Source organism: Homo sapiens, chromosome 9 (genome assembly GCF_000001405.40).
Source record: "Homo sapiens chromosome 9, GRCh38.p14 Primary Assembly".
Lineage (NCBI taxonomy): Eukaryota > Metazoa > Chordata > Mammalia > Primates > Hominidae > Homo > Homo sapiens.
The window spans coordinates 35,213,986-35,233,171 of NC_000009.12; the positions used below are offsets into that span (position 1 = coordinate 35,213,986).

The following is a 19,186-nucleotide window of genomic DNA, read 5'->3' on the forward strand; positions in this document are numbered from 1 at the left end:
TAGCCAACCAGAGTGTCATGATACATGACGTAGAACATAATCAGACCTTCATTAACTGGTGATAGCAGACTGAGTATAAATCAAAATGAGTATGAAATGATTATAGACATTTAAAAAGGAATCGAAAAAGAAAGGGATACTATATTTAGAAAAAAGACCAGGCTGGGCATGGTGGCTCACGCATATAATCCCAGCACTTTGGGAGGTGGAGATGAGTGGATCACCTGAGGTCAGGAGTTGGTGACCATCCTGACTAACACAATAAAACCCCTTTTCTACTAAAAATACAAAAATAGCTGGGTGTAGTGGTGCATGCCTGTAATCCCAGCTACTGAGTAGGCTGAGGCAGGAGAATCACTTGAACCCTGGAGGCAGAGGTTGCAGTGAGTGGAGATCGCACCACTGTATTCCAGCCTAGGCAACAGAACAAGACTCTGTCTCAAAAACAAACAAACAATCAACAACAACAACAAGAACAAAACAAAAGAAACTAGGTATATTTGAAAAAGAACCAAAAAGAAAAACTCAAGGGAAAAGTTAAACAAGTGAAGAGTATTATTGAATTTTTGAATGTATACTAGAAAGAAATTACCCATTATGTAACAGAGGGAGAAAGAGAGAGGCTGAGTGACATTGCAGATAAAATGAGAAAGTCCAACATAGTTAATAGAAGTTCTCTAGGGGGGAAAAAGGAGAGGAGAGGAGAGGCAATATTTAATGAGAAATGGCTGGACTTCATGAAGTTAATTGGAAGAAAAGACAGATTATCTACAAAGGAATGACAGATTAAGACCGTAATAGTAACAATAGAGATCCTGAGAGAAATTACTATCTAGAATTTTTTTACTAGCTAAATTATTCAAAATTGAAAGTAAAATAGACATTTCAGACAAAAATGTGAGAATGTAAGCTCAGTGATGAAAGGGATTTTTCTTTCTCCACTGCTGTATCTCTACTAACTTGAACAATCCTTGGCACATAGTAGGCATTTAGTAAGTATTTGTTGAATAAGTGAAAAATTGAACAGTCTCTCACAGTTGCTTCTGGAAGAGGGAAATTGAAATGAGAAGGAAGGATTGAGATACAAGAAAGACTATTGAGTAGAACAGTTGTTAAACATGAGTAAATGTAAATAAATATACTTTAGTGGTGGCTCATGCCTATCATCCCAACACTTTGGAAGGCTGGGGTGGGAGGATCACTTGAGGTCAAGAGTTTGAGACCAGCCTGGGCAACATAGACCCTGTTTCTACAAAAAATTTAAAAAATTAGCTAGGTGTGGTGGCACACGCCTGTAATCCCAGCTACTGGGGAGTCTGAGGTGGGAGGATTATTTGAGCCCAGGAGGTCAAGGCGGCAGTCAGCCATGATCTCACCACTGTACTCCAGCCTGGGTGACAGAGTGAGACTGTCTCAAAAACAAACCAAAAATAAATAAATATACTTTATAAAACTACTATAATTTTAATTATGTCTAATATGTTACAGTTTTACAAACAAGATGGAAATAAAGTTCCTGACAACAATAGGATGTAAAGCAGAAAGTAGAGATTGTAGTTAAAGTAGTCTAAGGTTGTGTTTTTTTTCTGGGAAGAATTTAGAGATGTGGTTTAGTTAAAATTCAGATGTAATAAATTTCAAGGATAGGGTTTTTATTTTCTGGAATGTGATAAACTAGTTTTCTGAGGAAACTATTCTCATTCTAGTACACCTGAATATGCTATTGACAGGGACAAAATGAGCAATTTTTTTCCTACATAGTTGAATTATTGGAAGGCCAGAAACAATAAGAAAACATGAGCAGGTGCTAAAGCCAGCATTTGCCTGTTAGTATCTTCTGATTCCTGGTGTCTCTGAGCCGGAGTTTTAATCGTAATAGAGGGAACTTTCCCTAACTTACTTTATGATGATAGTAATTTAATATTACTATCACCAGACAATAACATTTTTGTAAATAAATACTAAGGCCATTTTCAAGCCTAAATAAAGGACCAAAAGTCCTAAAGACATTGTTAAAATGTATTTAGCTTCATATAAACCAATAATACAGCATTATCAAGTTAAGTTGATTTTAGGAATAAAAGAGTGGTTTATCATCTGAAAATATGTTAATGTATTGTATCTGTTAATCATCTAAAATCTGTAGCATTAACAGACTAAAGAGGAAACATCCTTGGATCATCTCAACAGATGCAGAAAAAGCATTTGATAAAATTCAGTAAGCATTCATGATAAAAATTCATGGTAAATTCAAAAGGGACCTTTCTTTTCTGGACCAGGATGGATTGTTCTGTATTGCTCCTGCTAAGTATAGCTCAAAACCCTGGACACTGTATGTAAAACAAACATAGGAAGAATTTGAAAGGTAAAGAGAAGACGACAGACCAGCTAGGGGTTTCACGACCCATGGAATGACATAGCAGTGAGTTCCCTGGACTTGCTTGATTGTTTATTTGCCTCATATAACGTAAGTGTTGGATCAACTGGCAACTTAGTCAGAAATGGCAATGGGAACATACACCCCAAGAAAGCCAAAAACAGCCTTTTCTCTTTAAAAGATGGTGAAAGAGGAAACATAGCAAGACAGAAACTTTTGGACAATAACCACGCTACTCTAGCCACATGCCATGGAAAGACCATGGCTCCTCCCCTTCGCTAACTCCTGTTAACCCCTGTTAATGATAGATAAAAGGTGTAGAAATTTGAAAAATATTTAATCCACAGGAAGGCAGGAAAAAGAAAACGGAAAATAGAAAATAAAATGTCAGACTTAAGCCCTAACATTTTAATAATTACGTTAAATGTAAATAGTCTAAACACACAAATTTAAAGACAGTTGGCATATTGGATATAAAAACATAATCCAACTATGTGAGTGATACATTCAACAACTTGGCATTATGCTGAGTGGAAAAAAAACAATCTCATAAGGTCATATTCTGTGTGATTCTCTGGGTATAACATTCTGCAAATGACAAAATGATGGAGATGGAGAGCAGATTAATGGTTCCAATGGTTTGGGATGATGAGGGAGGGTGTAGATATGACTATAAAGTGGTAGCAAGAGGGAGATCTTCGTGTTGATGGAATAGTTTTATATCTTGATTGTGGCAATAGTAACATGGGTCTACATATGTGATAAATAGCACAGAACTACGCACACACATCAGGTTTTTTCTTTTTGATATTGTACTATAGTTATGTAAGATTTAACTATTGTTGGGAACTAGGTGAAGGGTACATAGGACCTCTCTACTATTTTTGCAACTCCCTCTGATTATTTCAAAATAAGCTTTAAAGAAACCTATAGCAAACATCATACTCAAAATTGATTTATTAAAAGTATTTTCTTTAAAGTCAGGAACAATACAAGGATGCCTACTATCATTTCTTGTTTGTTTGTTTTTTTTGTTTTTTTTTTTTTTGAGACAGAGTCTCTGTCACCCAGGCTGGAGTGCAGTGGCGTGATCTCAGCTCACTGCAAGCTCCGCCTCCTGGGTTCACGCCATTGTCCTGCCTCAGCCTCCCGAGTAGCTGGGACTACAGGGGCGTGCCACCACGTCCGGCTAATTTTTTTGTATTTTTAGTAGAGACGGGGTTTCACTGTGTTAGCCAGGATGGTCTCGATCTCCTGACCTCGTGATCCGCCCGCCTCGGCCTCCCAAAGTGCTGGGATTACAGGCGTGAGCCACTGTGCCCGGCGCCTACTATCATTTCTTACATTCAATAGTTTACAGGCAGTCCTATTCTATGCAATAAGATCAGAAAATAATTAAGGCTGGGTGCGGTGGCTTACACCTATAATCCCAGCACTTTCAGAGGCTGAGGAGGGAGGACCACTTGAGCTTGAAAGTTTGAGACCAGCCTGAGCAATATAATGAGACCTTGTCTCTATAAAAAATAAAAAAATTAGCCAGGCGTGGTGGCAGGTACCTAGTCTTAGCTACTCAGGAGCCTGAGCCCTGGAGGTGGAGGCTGCAGTGAGCTGTGTTTGCACCACTGCACTTCAGCCTGGATGACACAGCAAAACCCTCAAAAAAAAAAGATTTTAGGCGTGGAAAGAGAAAAAATTATAACCTGTAAGGGAGTCTAGGCAATGAGTACCTGGCATTTTTACTTTCTATTATATATTGTGAGATAGGCTCTTTCTCTCACCAGGTTTTCTCTGAAACTGATGATTTCTAATCCTAAGAGCCAAGGGAAAAGAGTAACAAAAACAATAACATGTCCACACACTGGAAAACTTATCAGTGAAAAATATACTTCATGGGATGGCAAGAAGCAACATAGGATTGTAGTTGACATGCAGCTACTATTATTATATTATTATGATTATTAATTTTACTCTTCAAGACTCTTATTTGGTGTGAGTCTAGATCTGTTAGAAGGTCACTGATGAAAAAGGATGTGTGGGTGTCCAAGCTGATCTGATTCATACAGCTCAATATATTTATTTATTAATTTTGAGACAGGGTCTGGCTCTGTCACCCAGACTAGAGTGCAGTGGCATGATCAAGGCTCACGGCAACCTCTGCCTCCCAGGCTCCATTTTTATTTATTATTATTATTTTTAATTAATTAATTAATTTTTTGTAGAGACAGAGCCTCACCGTGTTTCCCAGGCTCATCTCAGGCTCCTGGCCTGAAGGAGTTCTCCCACCTTGACCTTGAAAAGTATTGGGATTATAGCCGTGAGCCACCGCGTCTGGTTAAGTGGTTAATTTAGAAATGTGCAGAGTTAATGTTCGTGTTTTTCTTTTTCTTTTCTCTTTTTTCTTTTTGAGATGGAGTTTCGCTCTTGTTGCCCAGGCTGGAGTGCAATGGTGCAATCTTGGCTCACTGCAGCCTCTGCTTCCCGGGTTCAAGTGATTCTCCTGCCTCAGCCTCCTGAGTAGCTGGGATTACAGGCATGCACCACCACGCCTGGCTAATTTTGTATTTTTAGTAGAGATGGGGTTTCTCCATGTTGGTCAGGCTGGCCTTGAACTCCCAACCTCGGGTGATCTGCCTGCCTCGGCCTCCCAAAGTGCTGGGATTACAGGCGTGAGCCACTGTGCCCGGCCAGTGTTCGTGTTTATTTTTCATAGCGTTAAGGAACTGGGTGAGAATCAAAATCTGGAGGAGAGTTTAGAGTTTTCTTCATGGTTAAATTTAAAAAATTCTATAGAACAAATATATTTAGTGTGTGTAGGCCGATGGCGTTAGATTTCCATACACTCAACATTGGGGAGAAACCTCATTGGCAGTGGAGTGGCTGGTGGTACCAGCTGGGGGTCCCTTCTTTGGTCCTTTGAGTGCAGAGTCTTTGCCCTGGTTGTTCCCTGCTTTCACTATTAGGAGAAGCCACTTGACTCATGGCTGGCAGATAGCACACCAGTTTCAGTACCTTGCTAAATTTATAGAAAACCAGTGTATTAAACAGCGAGGTATAGATAGAAACTGTTTTCCAACAGTGGGTATTTGAATATTAAGTAGTAGTAAATTAGCCAGGTGTGGTGGCACACACCTGTGGTCCTAGCTACTTGGGAGGCTAAGGCAGGAGGATTGCTTGAACCCTGGAGGTCAAGGCTGCAGTGAGCCATGATTATACCACTGCACTCCAGCCTGGGTGACAGAGCAAGACCCTGTGTCCAAAAAAAAAAAAAAAAAAGTAAAGACATTGTTTTCTTTAAATTTTCAAACTTCTAAAAAAGAACAGAGAATAATATATTGCATACCCATGTAGTTGCCACCTTAATTTAACAAATGTTAATGATTTGTTACATTAGTCAAGATTAAAAAAATGGTGTACAGTGGATAAAGTTGAAATTTTCTTTACTGTCTCAATCTCTCTTTCCCAAGCTGTAGTCACTCTCAAAGTTGGTGTGCATTCCTTCCTTTTAGGGTTATTATTATTCTAAAATGTGTGCATATGTCTATTTGTCTATCATGCAGATATTCATTCTCTTATTTTTTTCTGAACGTTTTAAAGCTTTAGTGTCACATTTAGATGTTTAATCCATTTATAATTCATAATTGTGTTAGCATGAGGTAAGGGCTTAATTTTGTCTTTTTGTATGAATAACTCATCATTACTAGTTTTGTCTTTAGCAGAGTTTGTTTATGCAGGTATAAGCAAATATGAATATATATTTTTATTTGTTCCCCTTATTTTGTATTCTTTAATTTTTAATTTTGGGGTATATAATACATGTATATACTTATAGGGTACATGAGATATTTTGTTAAAGGCATACAGTGCTTAATCACATTAGGGTAAATGGGGTATCTATCACCTCAACCATTTATCCTTTATTTGTTTAACAATCTAATTATATACTCTTAGTTATTTTAAAATGTACAATAAATTATTATTGACTGTAGTCCCCCTGTTGTGCTATCACATACTAGATCTTATTTATTCTAACTATATTTTTATACCCATTAATCATCCCCACTTCCCCCCCAACTACTCTTTCTAGTAGCTTCTGTTATTGGTAGTTCTACTGTTTCCATGAGTTCAATTGTTTTAATTTTTAGCTCCCACAAATAAGCGAGAGCATGTGAAGTTTGTCTTTCTGTGCCTGGTATAGTTCACATAACACAATGACCTCCAGTTCCATCCATGTTGTTGCAAGTGACAGGATGTCATTCTTTTTTGTGGCTGAATAGTACTCCATTGTGTATATGTAGCACATTTTTGTTATGATGAACACTTAAGTTGCTTCCAAATCTTGGCTATTGTGAAATGGTGCTTCAATAAATGTGGGAGTGCAGATTTACTGATTTCCTTTTTTGGGGTATATACCTAGCATTGGGATTGCAGGATCATATCGTAGCTCTATTTTTAGTCTTTTGAGAAACCTCCAAACTGTTCTCTATAGTGACTCTAATAATTATATTCCTGCCAACAGTGTACAAGGGTTCCCTTTCTCCACATCTTTGCCAGCATTTCTTATTGCTTGTCTTTTGGATAAAAGCCATTTTAACTGGGGTGAGATGATACCTCATAGTAGTTTTGATTTGCATTTTGCTGATGATCATTGATGTTTAACACCTTTTCATGTACTTGTTTGCCATTTGTGTGTCTGTCTTTTAAATTTTTATTTATTTATTTATTTTGAGACGTTATCTCACTCTGTCACCCAGGCTGGAGTGCGGTGGAGCAAATTCAGCTCACTGCGAACTCTGCCTCCCGATCTTAAGTGATCCTCCCACCTCAGCTTCCTGAGTAGCTGGGACCACAGGTGCATGCCACTATACCCAGCTGATTTTGTGTATTTTTGGTAAAGACGAGTTTTCACCATGTTGCCCAGGCTGGTCTGGAATTCCTGAGCTCAAGCAATCCACCTTCCTTGGCCTCTCATAGTGCTGGGATTACATGCGTGAGCCACCATGCCCGGCCTGTCCGTCTTGTTTTGACAAATATCTATTCAGGTCTTTTGCCTGTTTTTAAATTGGATTATTAGACTTTTTCCTATTGACTTGTCTGAGCTCCTTATATATTCTGGTTATTAATCACTTGTCAGAAGAATAGTTTGCAAATTACTTTTTCTCATTCTGTCGGTTGTCTCTTCACTTTGTTGATTGTTTTCTTTGCTGTGCTGAAGATATTTAACTTGATGTGATCCTATTTGTCCATTTTTGGTTTGATTGTCATGGGGTATTCAGATCATAGCACATTCAAATCATAGCACTTGTTTGTACATTTTTTTTCTTTTAAACTTCATGCATTTTGCATACAATTTAAGAAATCTAACCCAGGGTCACTAAGATTTTCTCCTATGTTTTCTTCCAGATATTTCATAGTTTTATCTCTCACATTTAGTTCTATTCCTGACTCATTTCAAGTTTTGCATATTGTGTACAGTAAGGATAAAATAAGCAAATATGTATATGCACTTGCATATGAATATCGAATTTTTCAGTACCATTGTTAAAAAGATTATCTTTTCCCTCAATTGAATTGCCTTGGCAATTTTGTTGAAAATCAGTTGACCCATATGTGTGTGGGTCTGTTTCTGAACTTTCTAATTTTTTCCATTGATCATTATGTCTTTTTATGCCAATACCACACTGTCTTGATTCCTGTATCTTTATAATATAACTTGAGATCAGGTAGTATAATTACTCCAACACCCTTTTTCCCCCAAAATGTTTTTTGGCTCTTCTGATCCTTTGCGTTTTCATATAAATTTTAAAACCAGCTTGTCAGTATCTAAAAAAAAATGCCTGCTAGAATTTTGATTGGGTTTGTCTTGAATATGTAGATTAATATGGGGAAAATTGTCATTTTAACAATAGTGAGTCTTCCAAACATTGACCATGGTATATCTCTTCATTTAGTTACTTCTTTGATTTCTCTCCTCAGTGTTTATAGTTTTTAACTTACAGGCCTTACATTTCTTTTGTTAAATCTATTCTAAGAATTTAATATTTTGGGGGGATGCTGTTGTACATAGCATTTTTTAAACAGGAAGAAATACATATAAATTTTATTATTACATGCACATGTGCGCATGGGAGTCAAGCAAGATATAAATATTCAGAGAAAGATAAGATGGTTCATGCTTGTATACCATCTTTTGGGGGCCAGATGGGAAGGCCATTTTTTGGATACATAATAACTGTACGTATTTATGAGGTACATGTGATATTTCTGTACATGCATACAATGTGTAATGATCAACCCAGGGTATTTAGGATATCCATCACCTAAAATATTTATCACTTCTTTGTGTTGGGAACATTTCAAATCTTTTCTTCTAGCTATTTTGAAATATGCAAATTATTGATAACTATAATCACCCCAGTCTGTGATCACACACTACAACGTATTCCTTCAATATAACTGTATGTATGCATTAACCAGCCTCTCTTCACCACCCTTCTCCCCCTTCCCAGCATCTGGTAGCCATCATTCTACTCTCTGCCTCCAGGAGATCTCCTTTATTTTAGCTCTCACATGAGTGAGAACATGCAAAATTTATCTTTCTGTGCCTAGCTTATTTCACTTAACATGATGCTATCCAGTTCCATCCATGTTGCTGCAAATGACAGGGTTTCATTCTTTTTATGGCTGAATAGTATTCCATTGTATATATATACCACATTTTCTTCATTTATTTGTTGATTGACACTTAGGTTGATTCTATACCTTGGCTATCATGAATAGTGCTGCAGTAAACATGGGGATGCTAATATCCCTTTGACATACTGACATCCTTTCCTTTGGATAAATACCCAGTAATGGGATTGCTGGATCATGTGGTAGTTCTGTTTTTGGTTTTTTGGGAAACCCCCATACTGTTTTCCATAAGGGCTGTACTAATTCACGTTCCTGTCCACAGTGTATATGAGTTCTCTTTTCTCTCCATCCAGGCCAGCATCTGTTATATTTTGTGGTTTTGGTGATAGCCATTCTAACTGGGGTGAGATGATAGCTCACTGTGGTTTTGATTTTAATTTTCCTGATGATTAGTACTCTTGAGCATTTTTTTCATATACATGTTGGCCATTCTTTTGAGAAATGTCTATTCAGATCCTTTGTCCACTTTTTAATGGGATTTTTTTTTTTGCTCTTGATTTGAGTTCCTTATATATTCTGGATATTAGTCCCTTGTTGGATGAATAGTTTGCAAATATTGTCTCCCATTCTGTAGTTTGTCTCTTTATTGATTGTTACTTTTGCGGTGCAAAGGCTTTTTAGTTTTATAGGGTCCCATTTGTCTATTTTTATTTATTTCTATGCATTTGAAGTCTTAGCCATAAAATCTTTGACTAGACTAATGTCCTGAAGTGTTTTCTTCTAGTAGTTTTAAAGTTTTGGGTCTTATATTTAACTCTTGAATTCATTTTGAGTTGATTTTTGTGATAGGTGCCCAGTTTCATTCTTCTGTAATATGGATATTCAGTTTTCCCAACACCATTTATTGAAGATATTATACTTTCCTCTGTGTTTTTCTGGTACGTTTGTTGAAAAATCAATTGGCTGTAAATACATGGATTTATTTCTGGGTTCTCTATTCTATTCCATTGGCTTGTGTCTCAGTTTTTATACCAGTAGTAACCTGCTTTGGTTACTATAGCTTTATGGTGTATTTTGAAGTCAGATAGCATGATACCTTCAGCTTTGTCCATTTTGCTCAGCATTGCTTTGACTATCCAGGGTCTTTTGTGGTTTATATGAATTTTAGGATTGTTGTTTCTATTTCTCTGATGAATAGCATTGGTATTTTGATAGGGATTGCATTTAATCTCTAGATTGCTTTGGATAATACAGTCATTTTAACAATATTCTTAGAGCCTATTTGCATAGTACGTTTTTCCATTTGTTTGTGTTCTCTTCAATTTCTCTCATCAGTGTTTTGTCATTTTTGTTGTAGAGGTCTTTCACCCTTGGTTAAATTTATTCCCAGGTATTGAATATTTTTTGTAGTAATTGTAAATGTGATTACTTTTTAAATTTCTTTTTCAGCTAGTTTATTATTACTGATTTTTGTAGTTGATTTTGTATTATGCAACTTTACTGAATATATTGATCAGATCTAGAGTTAAAAACAAACAGTGGAGTCTTTAGGTTTTTCTATATATAAGATCATGTCATGTGCAAAGAGGGACAATTTGGCTTCCTCTTTTCCAGTGTGGTTGCCTTGGATTTCTTTCTCTTGCCTGATTGCTCTGGCTAGGACTCCCAGTACTAAGTTGAATGAGAGTTGTGAAAGTGGGGCATTGTCTACTAAGCCAGACAATGGCAGAACAAAAAAATAAAACTACAGGCAAATACTCCTGATAAACACAGATGCAAAAATCGTCAACAAAATACTAGCAAACCAAATCAAGTAATATATCAAAAAGATAATATACCATGATCAAGGGGGATTTATCCCAGGGATGCAATGATGGTTCCACATATGCAAATCAATAAATGCGATACATCACATCAACAGAATGAAGAACAAAAACTGTTAAGATCATCTCAATAGACATAGAAAAGGCGTTTGATAAAATTCAACATCCCTTCATCATAAAAAAAAAAACTCTCAAAAAATTACACATTAAAGGAACATACCTCAACACAGTAGAGGTCGTATGTGACAAACCCATAGCTTACATCCTACTGAATGGGGAAAAGTTGAAAGCCTTTCCTCTAAGAACTGGAAAAACACAAGAACCCATATTTATTGTGTTCTTGTTTGTTGTTGTTGTTATTTTGAGACAGGGTCTCACTCTGTCACCCCCGCTGGAGTGTGGTGGTGCTATCTCAGCTCACTTCAACCTCTGCCTCCCAGGCTCAAGCGAGTCTCCCACCCCAGCCCCCCGAGTAGCTAGGATGACAGGCATGTGCCACTACACCCAGCTAATTTTTGTATTTTTAGTAGAGATGGGGTTTCCCATGTTGGCCAAGCTGGTCTCGAATTCCTTAAGTGATCCACCCACTTTGGCCTCCCAAAGTGCTGGGATTACAGGTGTGAGCCACCATGCCCGGCTGAATGTTTCTTTTCTTCTTATATTGATATTTGTGTATGTGTTATAACAATTCCTTCTTTTAATGTTATGGAGTGGCTTTTTTAGGGAAAGACTTTTTTTCTGTAGATGTATCTATATTGTTGCTGGGGAAAGGTGTTTTGGCTTTGATTCTGGGTGGGTGCAGTAGTGTAGTCTCCGTATGATTTCTTCACCTTTACTCGGACTAGTTTCTTGGCTTCTCAGTGGTGTAGGCTATAATTGTTGGCGGAGGCTGTGACAAGACTTTGCTGGGGACTGATATGCCAGATGGGCTGGTCCTCTGGAATCAGTAGTAGCAGTGGCATTCTAGGAATGCCAGTCTTTGGGCTCCCTTGGGCCTCCAGGTGGTATGCTTGGGTGCTGGCAGTGCCAGTGGCTGACCAAGTGGGTGGGTCCTTGGATCCCCGCGGTGACGTGTGAGGAGTTGACAGTGGTGGCAGCAGTGGTGCGCCAGTCCTTGCACCACTCAGCAGCATGTGTGGCTTTTAGTGGTGGGAGCAGGCTTGATAAGCTAGTCCCTAGACCTCCAGGAGGCATGCAGTGATGGGTGGCACTGGTGGTAGGATAGGCTAGGTTTTGCTCTGGAGAACTGTCCTGCATACTGTAGAATGTTTACCAGCATCCCTGTTCTTTAGCCAGTAAATGCCAGTAACATCACATGGGAACTTGTTAGAAATACAGTTTCACAGGCCCTGCTGCACTGCACTGAGTCTAGAAACTAAGGTGATGTGGCCCAGCATTCTGTGCTTTAACAGCCCTCAGGTGATTCTAATGTATGCTCAAGCTTGAAATTCCACTGCCTTGGTAGATTGCAAGGTTCCCCCTGCCCCCAGAAAGAACCTGTATTAGTCAAGGTTCTCTAAAGGGACAGAACTGATAGGGTGTGTGTGTGTGTGTGTATGTGTGTGTGTGAGTGCACATATACATATATGCACACACACACATATCTATATATGAGAGTTTATTAGGAGAATTGACTCATATCATCACAAGGTGAAGTCCCACACTAGGCCATCTGCAAACTGCGGAGCTGGGAAGCCAGTCCGAGTCCCAAAACCTCAGAAGTAGGGAAGCCGACAGTGCAGCCTTCAGTCTGTGGTCAAAGGCCCGAGAGCCCCTGGCAAAGCACAGGTGTAAGACCAAGAGTCCAAAAGCTGAAGAACTTGGATGTTCAAGGGCAGGAATCATCCAGCATGGGAGAAAGATGGAGGCCAGAGGACTCAGGTCTGTCTTCTCCTTCCGCGTTCCTCTGCCTGCTTTTATCCTAGTTGTGCTGTCAGCTGATTAAATGGTACCCACCCAGGTTGAGGGTGGGTCTGTCTCTCCCAGTCCACTGACTGAAACATTAATCTCCTTTGGCAACACCCTTACAGACACAGCCAGGAACAATACTTTGCATCCTTCACATGCAATCAAGTGGCACTCAATAGAGTGTCACATTACAGAACCATTATTATCACTATATCGTTGACTAGCATAATGGCAAATTTATGCTTATTGACCAATTAGTAATTGCAGAGCTTAATCTTTTTAAGGTAGCTTTAGCCAGGCTATTCAGAGAGATGTGTATGTACTTTCTACACATTTGTGAAAAAGAACACCAGTTGGGAAGAGGATTTGAACTGAAATGGGACTACAAAAGGTAGTCTCCAGTGAGAGACAGACTTTGTTTCAATAAAAAGAATAGATTTTAGTAAAATCCTGTCTGAAAATGGAGAGGACGTGTGAAAGGTACAGAATGACCCATCTCTTAGAAGTATTAAGCAGGACTTGGATGTTAGTTAAGGTGAAGCTTTCAGTAGTAATGCAGGATAAGGAGAATGGCAGACGTATACTCTTAAGCATCCTTTCCAGGTTTTGTGTTTTAGGGTTTTCTTCACCTTTTTTTTTCTCCTGTGGCACGTAGCTCTAATCTTCTTTGATAGCTACTTGGTGCTTTCTGAGATTTAGCAGTTTTCCTGCATGTATGGTCTTTGACCTTTCCCAGGAGTTGGCATGTGCACTCCAGTGTGGGATTCTTTCCTGTGTAGTTCTCTACTGCCTTTGGAAACAGCGCTTTGTGATTACATTGACAGGAGCTCCTCTTACTATCTGCTTATTTTCAGAAAGAAGTTATTTCTCATTCTTGTTTTAAAGGTTATTATCTAGATCTGGCCTGTTATGCTCTTCTTTTGGTGTGAACAGAATAGAGGGGATTTCTATGCTAGGTTTTAAATAAGGAACATTTGTAACTTAAACTTTCAGAAGATATCTCACATGAAACTGGCTGCCTGCCACAGGAGTAACTTAGATCTCTCCACCTTGTTGTCAGGAGCCTGGAACAGAGATTTTTGCATTGGATATGAGATCAGATTGACTTTTAAGGTCTCGTCTGACTCTTTGCCTTTCAAGTTTTGATCAGAAGTCTCAGCTTTTTTTCTCCAGGTTTAGATTTAACAATCTAAACCTAGTTCTAACATTGGTATGTAGTGCCTAATAAATGTTGCTTAAGTAAAATGAACTTGGAAACATTCTTCATGGTATCCTCTTTTTTCTCTTGCAGTTAAAAGGGCCAAATTCCAGGGTTCACCAGGTAAGGCCAGCTTTCTATTATGTCTTTTCCTCTTGTATTTGCTGTTATTTCAAAGCAATTTAAAAAAATTATTAATTCATTGATCAAATTCAGTAATTTGATTCATTACTTCACTAAATTAATTCATGAAATCATTAATCTAGTGAAAAATTAGTTTTCTTACCTCTTGGCTAACCCAATTCTACTTCTCAATAATAACTATATATTTAGAGGTTTTGATATACCTTTTCCGACTTTTTCTCAGAAAAAAGTCTGAAATAGTGTAAAAGGATAAATATTGACAATTAGTGGAAACAATTTTTTTTTTTTTACTTTAAGTTCTAGGGTACATGTGCACAACGTGCAGGTTTGTTACATAGGTATACATGTGCCATGTTGGTTTGCTGCACCCATTAACTCGTCATTTACATTAGGTATTTCTCCTAATGCTATCCCTCCCCCCGTCCCCCACCCCACGACAGGCCCCAGTGTGTAGTGGATAAATATTGAAATATCAGTGTATCATGTCTTGCAGTTCATGAACCTGTTTCAGCTTGAGAGTGTGTGTATATGTATCTATTGGGTCATATATAAAATTTCTTAAAATTTAAAATATTCAAATAGACCATGTGAAACATATCTTATGCAACCTGCTTTTCCCCCAGCAACACATCATGAAAGTGTGTGTGTGTGTGTGTGTGTGTGTGTGTGTGTGTGTGTGTGTGTATGTGTGTGTCTGGTTCGTTCTTTTAAGGTGCTGTACAGAATTTTGTTGTAGATTTGTACCCTGATTAATAGGTCCCTGATTGATTAATACTTGATTAATATTTAGGTTCCCAAGTTTTTGCTATTACAAATAATAAATGTTCTTGTGCACTTCTCATTGCTTGCTTTTGCAAATGTGTCTATGTACTAGATTCAGAAGTAGAATTGCTGGGTCAAAAGTGTATATATATTTTTAAAAATTTGGTAACTCCTGCCAAATTGTTCTCTTGCAAGTTTTTACTATATATACCGAGACCAAAAGTTTATGAACATTTATTTTCCCAAATCCTTATCAACATTTGATATGAAACTTTAAAATCTCTGTCCATCTGAAGATTAAAAATGGTATTTCCTTATTTTAATGTGCATTTCCTCAATTTTGATTGTCACATTAGGAAGACTTCCTCTGGTTACTGCTGGGGAAGGAGGGAGGGGAGCTGGAGGGTTACTGGAAATATATGAATACGCTTGAGAACCCAGGAAAACCTGAAAAACTGGACCTTGGGTGCAACAGTAATGAAAGCAGTTTCTGAGCAGTTTCTTGTTTTAAAGGTTATTATCTTTTTGTCTCTGCTGGCTCTTTTTTTCTGAGAATCTGCTCTGTTGTTTCTCTCCCAGCTGGTTTTCTATGCTTACCCATCTTGTACCCATAATAGCTGCCTCAGTGGAATTTATACCCCTTCCTTTTAGCTTCAGCACCAACCACCAATTGTCAATATTTATCTTTTTACCCTATTTAAAATCTTTTGAGAGGGAATCAGGTTTGTTTCAGCTTTTGGCCAGCTCATGGATTGGCTGCTCTTGGGTTATTTACTCTTGGTCTGGTCAGCTATGTGTGATTGGATGTTGGGGTGGAGTACAAAATAATGTAATATAAAACATAGCTCAGTGGCCTACTGCACTACTACTACTACTGGATATGGATGGAGATTCCCCTTGTATGGGCTTTTATCCTCATATATCTTTAATATAATTATAAATTTTCCATGTTGATAAGTATAAAACCACACCATTTTAAATGATATTTAAAAGAAAGACTTACCTTCAGCTGAAAGTGTATGACGGGTTCCATTTTCTCATATCTTCTGTAACATTAGGTAATCATGTTAAGCAATGTTTGCCAATTTGATGAGTCAAAGTGATAGTTTGCTATTTTTTCATTGTATAACATTAGGATTAATTTCTTACATAGAAAAGCAAACCCTCAATTCAGTGCCCCTAATCATGGCTGATGTGGATGTAGTGAGGTGAGTGCCAAATGTGCTGTAATAAGAATTAGGTGAGACACCTGAGTTTGAAGTTTCAGGCCACCACCTTTGTTTAGTAATCAACTTGTTTAGTACTCAACTCTCAGGTTAGAGAATTTCCTTTTCTCAACTCTGTGATAATATTTCTTTTTTTGGCTGGGCCTGGTGGCTCATGCTTGTAATCCCAGCACTTTTGGAGGCCAAGATGGGTAGATCACTTGAGGTCAGGCATTTGAGACCGCCTGGCCAACGTGGTGAAACCCCATCTCTACTAAAAATACAAAAGTTAGCTGGGCATGGTGGCGCACACCTATAATCCCAGCTACTTGGGTAGCTGAGGCATGAGAATTGCTTGAACCTGGTAGGTAGAGGTTGCAGTGAGCCAAGATCATGCCACTGCACCCTGGTCTGGGTGACACAGCAAGACTCTGTCTCAAAAAAAAAAAAAAAAAAAAAAGATTTCTTTTTATGTAACTTGTGCTTTAGGCCAAACTGAGTAGATCGAGCTTGAAATCTATTTTCTTTGTGAAGATTTTTCCTTAATTTTTGTCCCTGTTAACAGCTCAGCTCTGCAGTTCTTTATCACTTTTTCTTTTTTCCTTCTGGTATGTATCTCTTTCTACATTTTATTAAATTTACGTACCTTATCTTTCCTAGTAGGTCAATTAGATTTGGATTTTTCCCCCCAGATGGCAAGTGGGCTATATAATTAACATAGTAGGTTAGGATTAACATTGTAATAGATTAAATAAATTAGAACAGGAAATATCAATGTATCATATCTTGGCATTCATGAATCTGTTTCAGTTTGAGTGTGTGTGTATGCATATCTGTTGGGTCATATATAAAATTTCTTAAAATTAAAAAAATAGTATTTTAGATTATGCTCTTGAAGATAGCACGTAGTTTTATAATTTCGGCAACTCTGCTATGTCTTGAATGAGGCTATGTTGTACAATATAGCTTAATTTTTTCCTGCACATGTAATACTTTAATTTCTATATTGCTTAATTCCAAGGGCTTTGTGAGATGGGTAACAATCTGAGCACTAAGTATTATGTCTCCATTTTGTATTTTTTCAAAGATAAATTTAACACATATGTGACCCTGAAAGTACAGAATGTGAAGAGCACAACTGTAGCAGTTCGTGGTGATCAGCCTTCCTGGGAACAGGATTTCATGTTGTAAGTATTTTGCAGCAGCAGTGTGCCTACATATTTTATAATCTTTTTAAGGGAATTGCATTGGATGAAACAATTAGAAGATTTTGTGTATTTTTGAGATTTATAAAATGTACTGGCACTGTTAAATACTGTTTTGAAAACTGTGGAGTTATAGAAATAAGTGAGGTTCATGGTACATGAAGCACAACTGCAGTTTTGTTTTCTCATGGATTCGTAATTTGTTCTTAGAGATGAATGATAATGCAGGTAAACTCCCAATTGATTTGTGTTGGTGAAAAACTACATAGGCAGATTTTCTCAGTGGTCAGAATTAGAATACAGTACAACAGACTTAGCATGACATTAAACATAACTTCATCTTTCTTTGATTCTGAGAAGGCTCTTTGAAGGAATGTGGCCATGCATGTGAGAGACTGTATCTTCATGTGTACCTCAGTCATCTGTTTTAGAGGCTGAAGATTTCTGTGCTTATAATCCTTTTGCTTTATGGAGTAAAATGTCCTATATTCAATTAATTAAAATGAATAAATATTAGTAGAATTTCTCGTGTATGACAAAGTTTAGTATATTATGATTTTAATTAAACTTTGGCTTTAAAAACTTGTTATTTCTTTCTTTTGTCCCTTTAGTTTCAGGATTTTTTTGTTCCTGTTCTACAAAAGGGGAGAAAAGTATAGAATATATTGAAGGACTGGGCAAATCATTTAGCTTCATAGGGCACTAGTTTCCTTATCTGTAAAGGTCTTCCTTTCTCAGAAGATTATGCTTGTTTTTTCTGGGAGTTGGAGGTGGGCATGAAGGGGCTGAATGAGAAAACGTACTGAAATTTGCTGTGAAATTTGAAACTGAACTGAAATCGATTTGCATGTTTTATAGTGCAGCTCAGAGGGACATAGGGATGGTTATTATTTTTAAGGGGAGACATTTCCAATCCTCTGGGCTCTTGGTATATTGCTGCTTTTTTTTTTTTTTTTTTTTTGAGGCAGGATCTCACTCTCTCACCCATCCTAGAGTGTGGTGGTATGATCATAGTTTACTGCAGCCTCTAACTCCTGGGCTTGAGCGATCTTCTTGCCTTAGCCTCCTGAGTAATGGAAACTACAAGCATGTACCATCACACCTTGGCTAATGTTTTTATTTTTTGTAAAGATGGGGTTTCACTATGTTGCCCAGGCTGATCTCAAACTCCTGGGCTCAAGCAATCTTCCCGCCTTGGCCTCCCAAAGCTGTGGGATTACAGGTGTTAGCCACTGCACCCAGCTTATATTGCTTCCTATAGGACCATTATTGTGATAGTTAAAGGCAAAGATTATAAGGTTTTGGGCTAGGACAATAGCAGAAGACGTAGAAAAGGATGAATAGAAGGTATTCAGGAAGTAGAACCAAAACATTTTCTTGGAAGATGGGTTGGGTGGTATGCCATTCAGTAGGATAGGGATTAATATCAGTTATGGACAATCTTATATTTGAGATTCTTATAGGACAGATAGGAAGGATGAGAGGTACAGAAGATAGTTAGAAACCTAAAGCTGGCACTCAGGGAAGAAGTCTGCTTTGGAGAAATATTTTGGTCAGTTGAAGCCATAGGTGAAGATGAGAAAGCTTAGGGAGAGAATGTGTATGGTGAGAAAAGGGACTGGAGTAGAAGCTGGAGAGTGGCAGCATTTAATGAGGGGACAGAGGGAACTAAAAAGGATTGAACAGAGAGGTAGGAGAGCCAGGAGATAATGGTGTCTTGGAAGCTGAGGGAGAACTGGGCTTCAAAGAGAAGGAGGCCAATGGTGTCATGTTTCTTTCTCACTGGTTGCTTCTCTCTCAAGATTATATAAGCCTCATTTATTCCCTCTCTCAGTGACAGTGATATGAGACCGAGAGCACCTGTTTCCTTCTTTACACATGCAGTGTACAGAGTCAGCTACAAATGGTTTATGCAAGTCTCTTTCCATACCAGT

At 38.0% G+C, this 19,186-nt stretch overlaps 1 protein-coding gene across 11 annotated transcripts in view; it reads left to right on the top strand.

The window, feature by feature from the left end:
- Window positions 1-19,186, top strand: part of UNC13B (unc-13 homolog B) — a 243,327-nt gene that overhangs the window by 51,977 nt on the left and 172,164 nt on the right. For 9 of the 11 annotated variants that reach the window (NR_170667.1, NM_001387551.1, NM_001371189.2 and 6 more), the window contains exons 2-3: window positions 14,030-14,059; window positions 17,135-17,234. Coding sequence is in view for 10 of the 11 variants with exons in the window: in NM_001387551.1 (NP_001374480.1) it covers window positions 14,030-14,059; window positions 17,135-17,234 (130 nt within the window). In the remaining variant the exon portion in view is untranslated. Of the gene's footprint in view, window positions 1-13,729; window positions 13,949-14,029; window positions 14,060-17,134; window positions 17,235-19,186 lie in introns of those variants that run through there. The other 2 variants (NM_001387553.1, NM_001387554.1) reach the window with 1 other exon arrangement.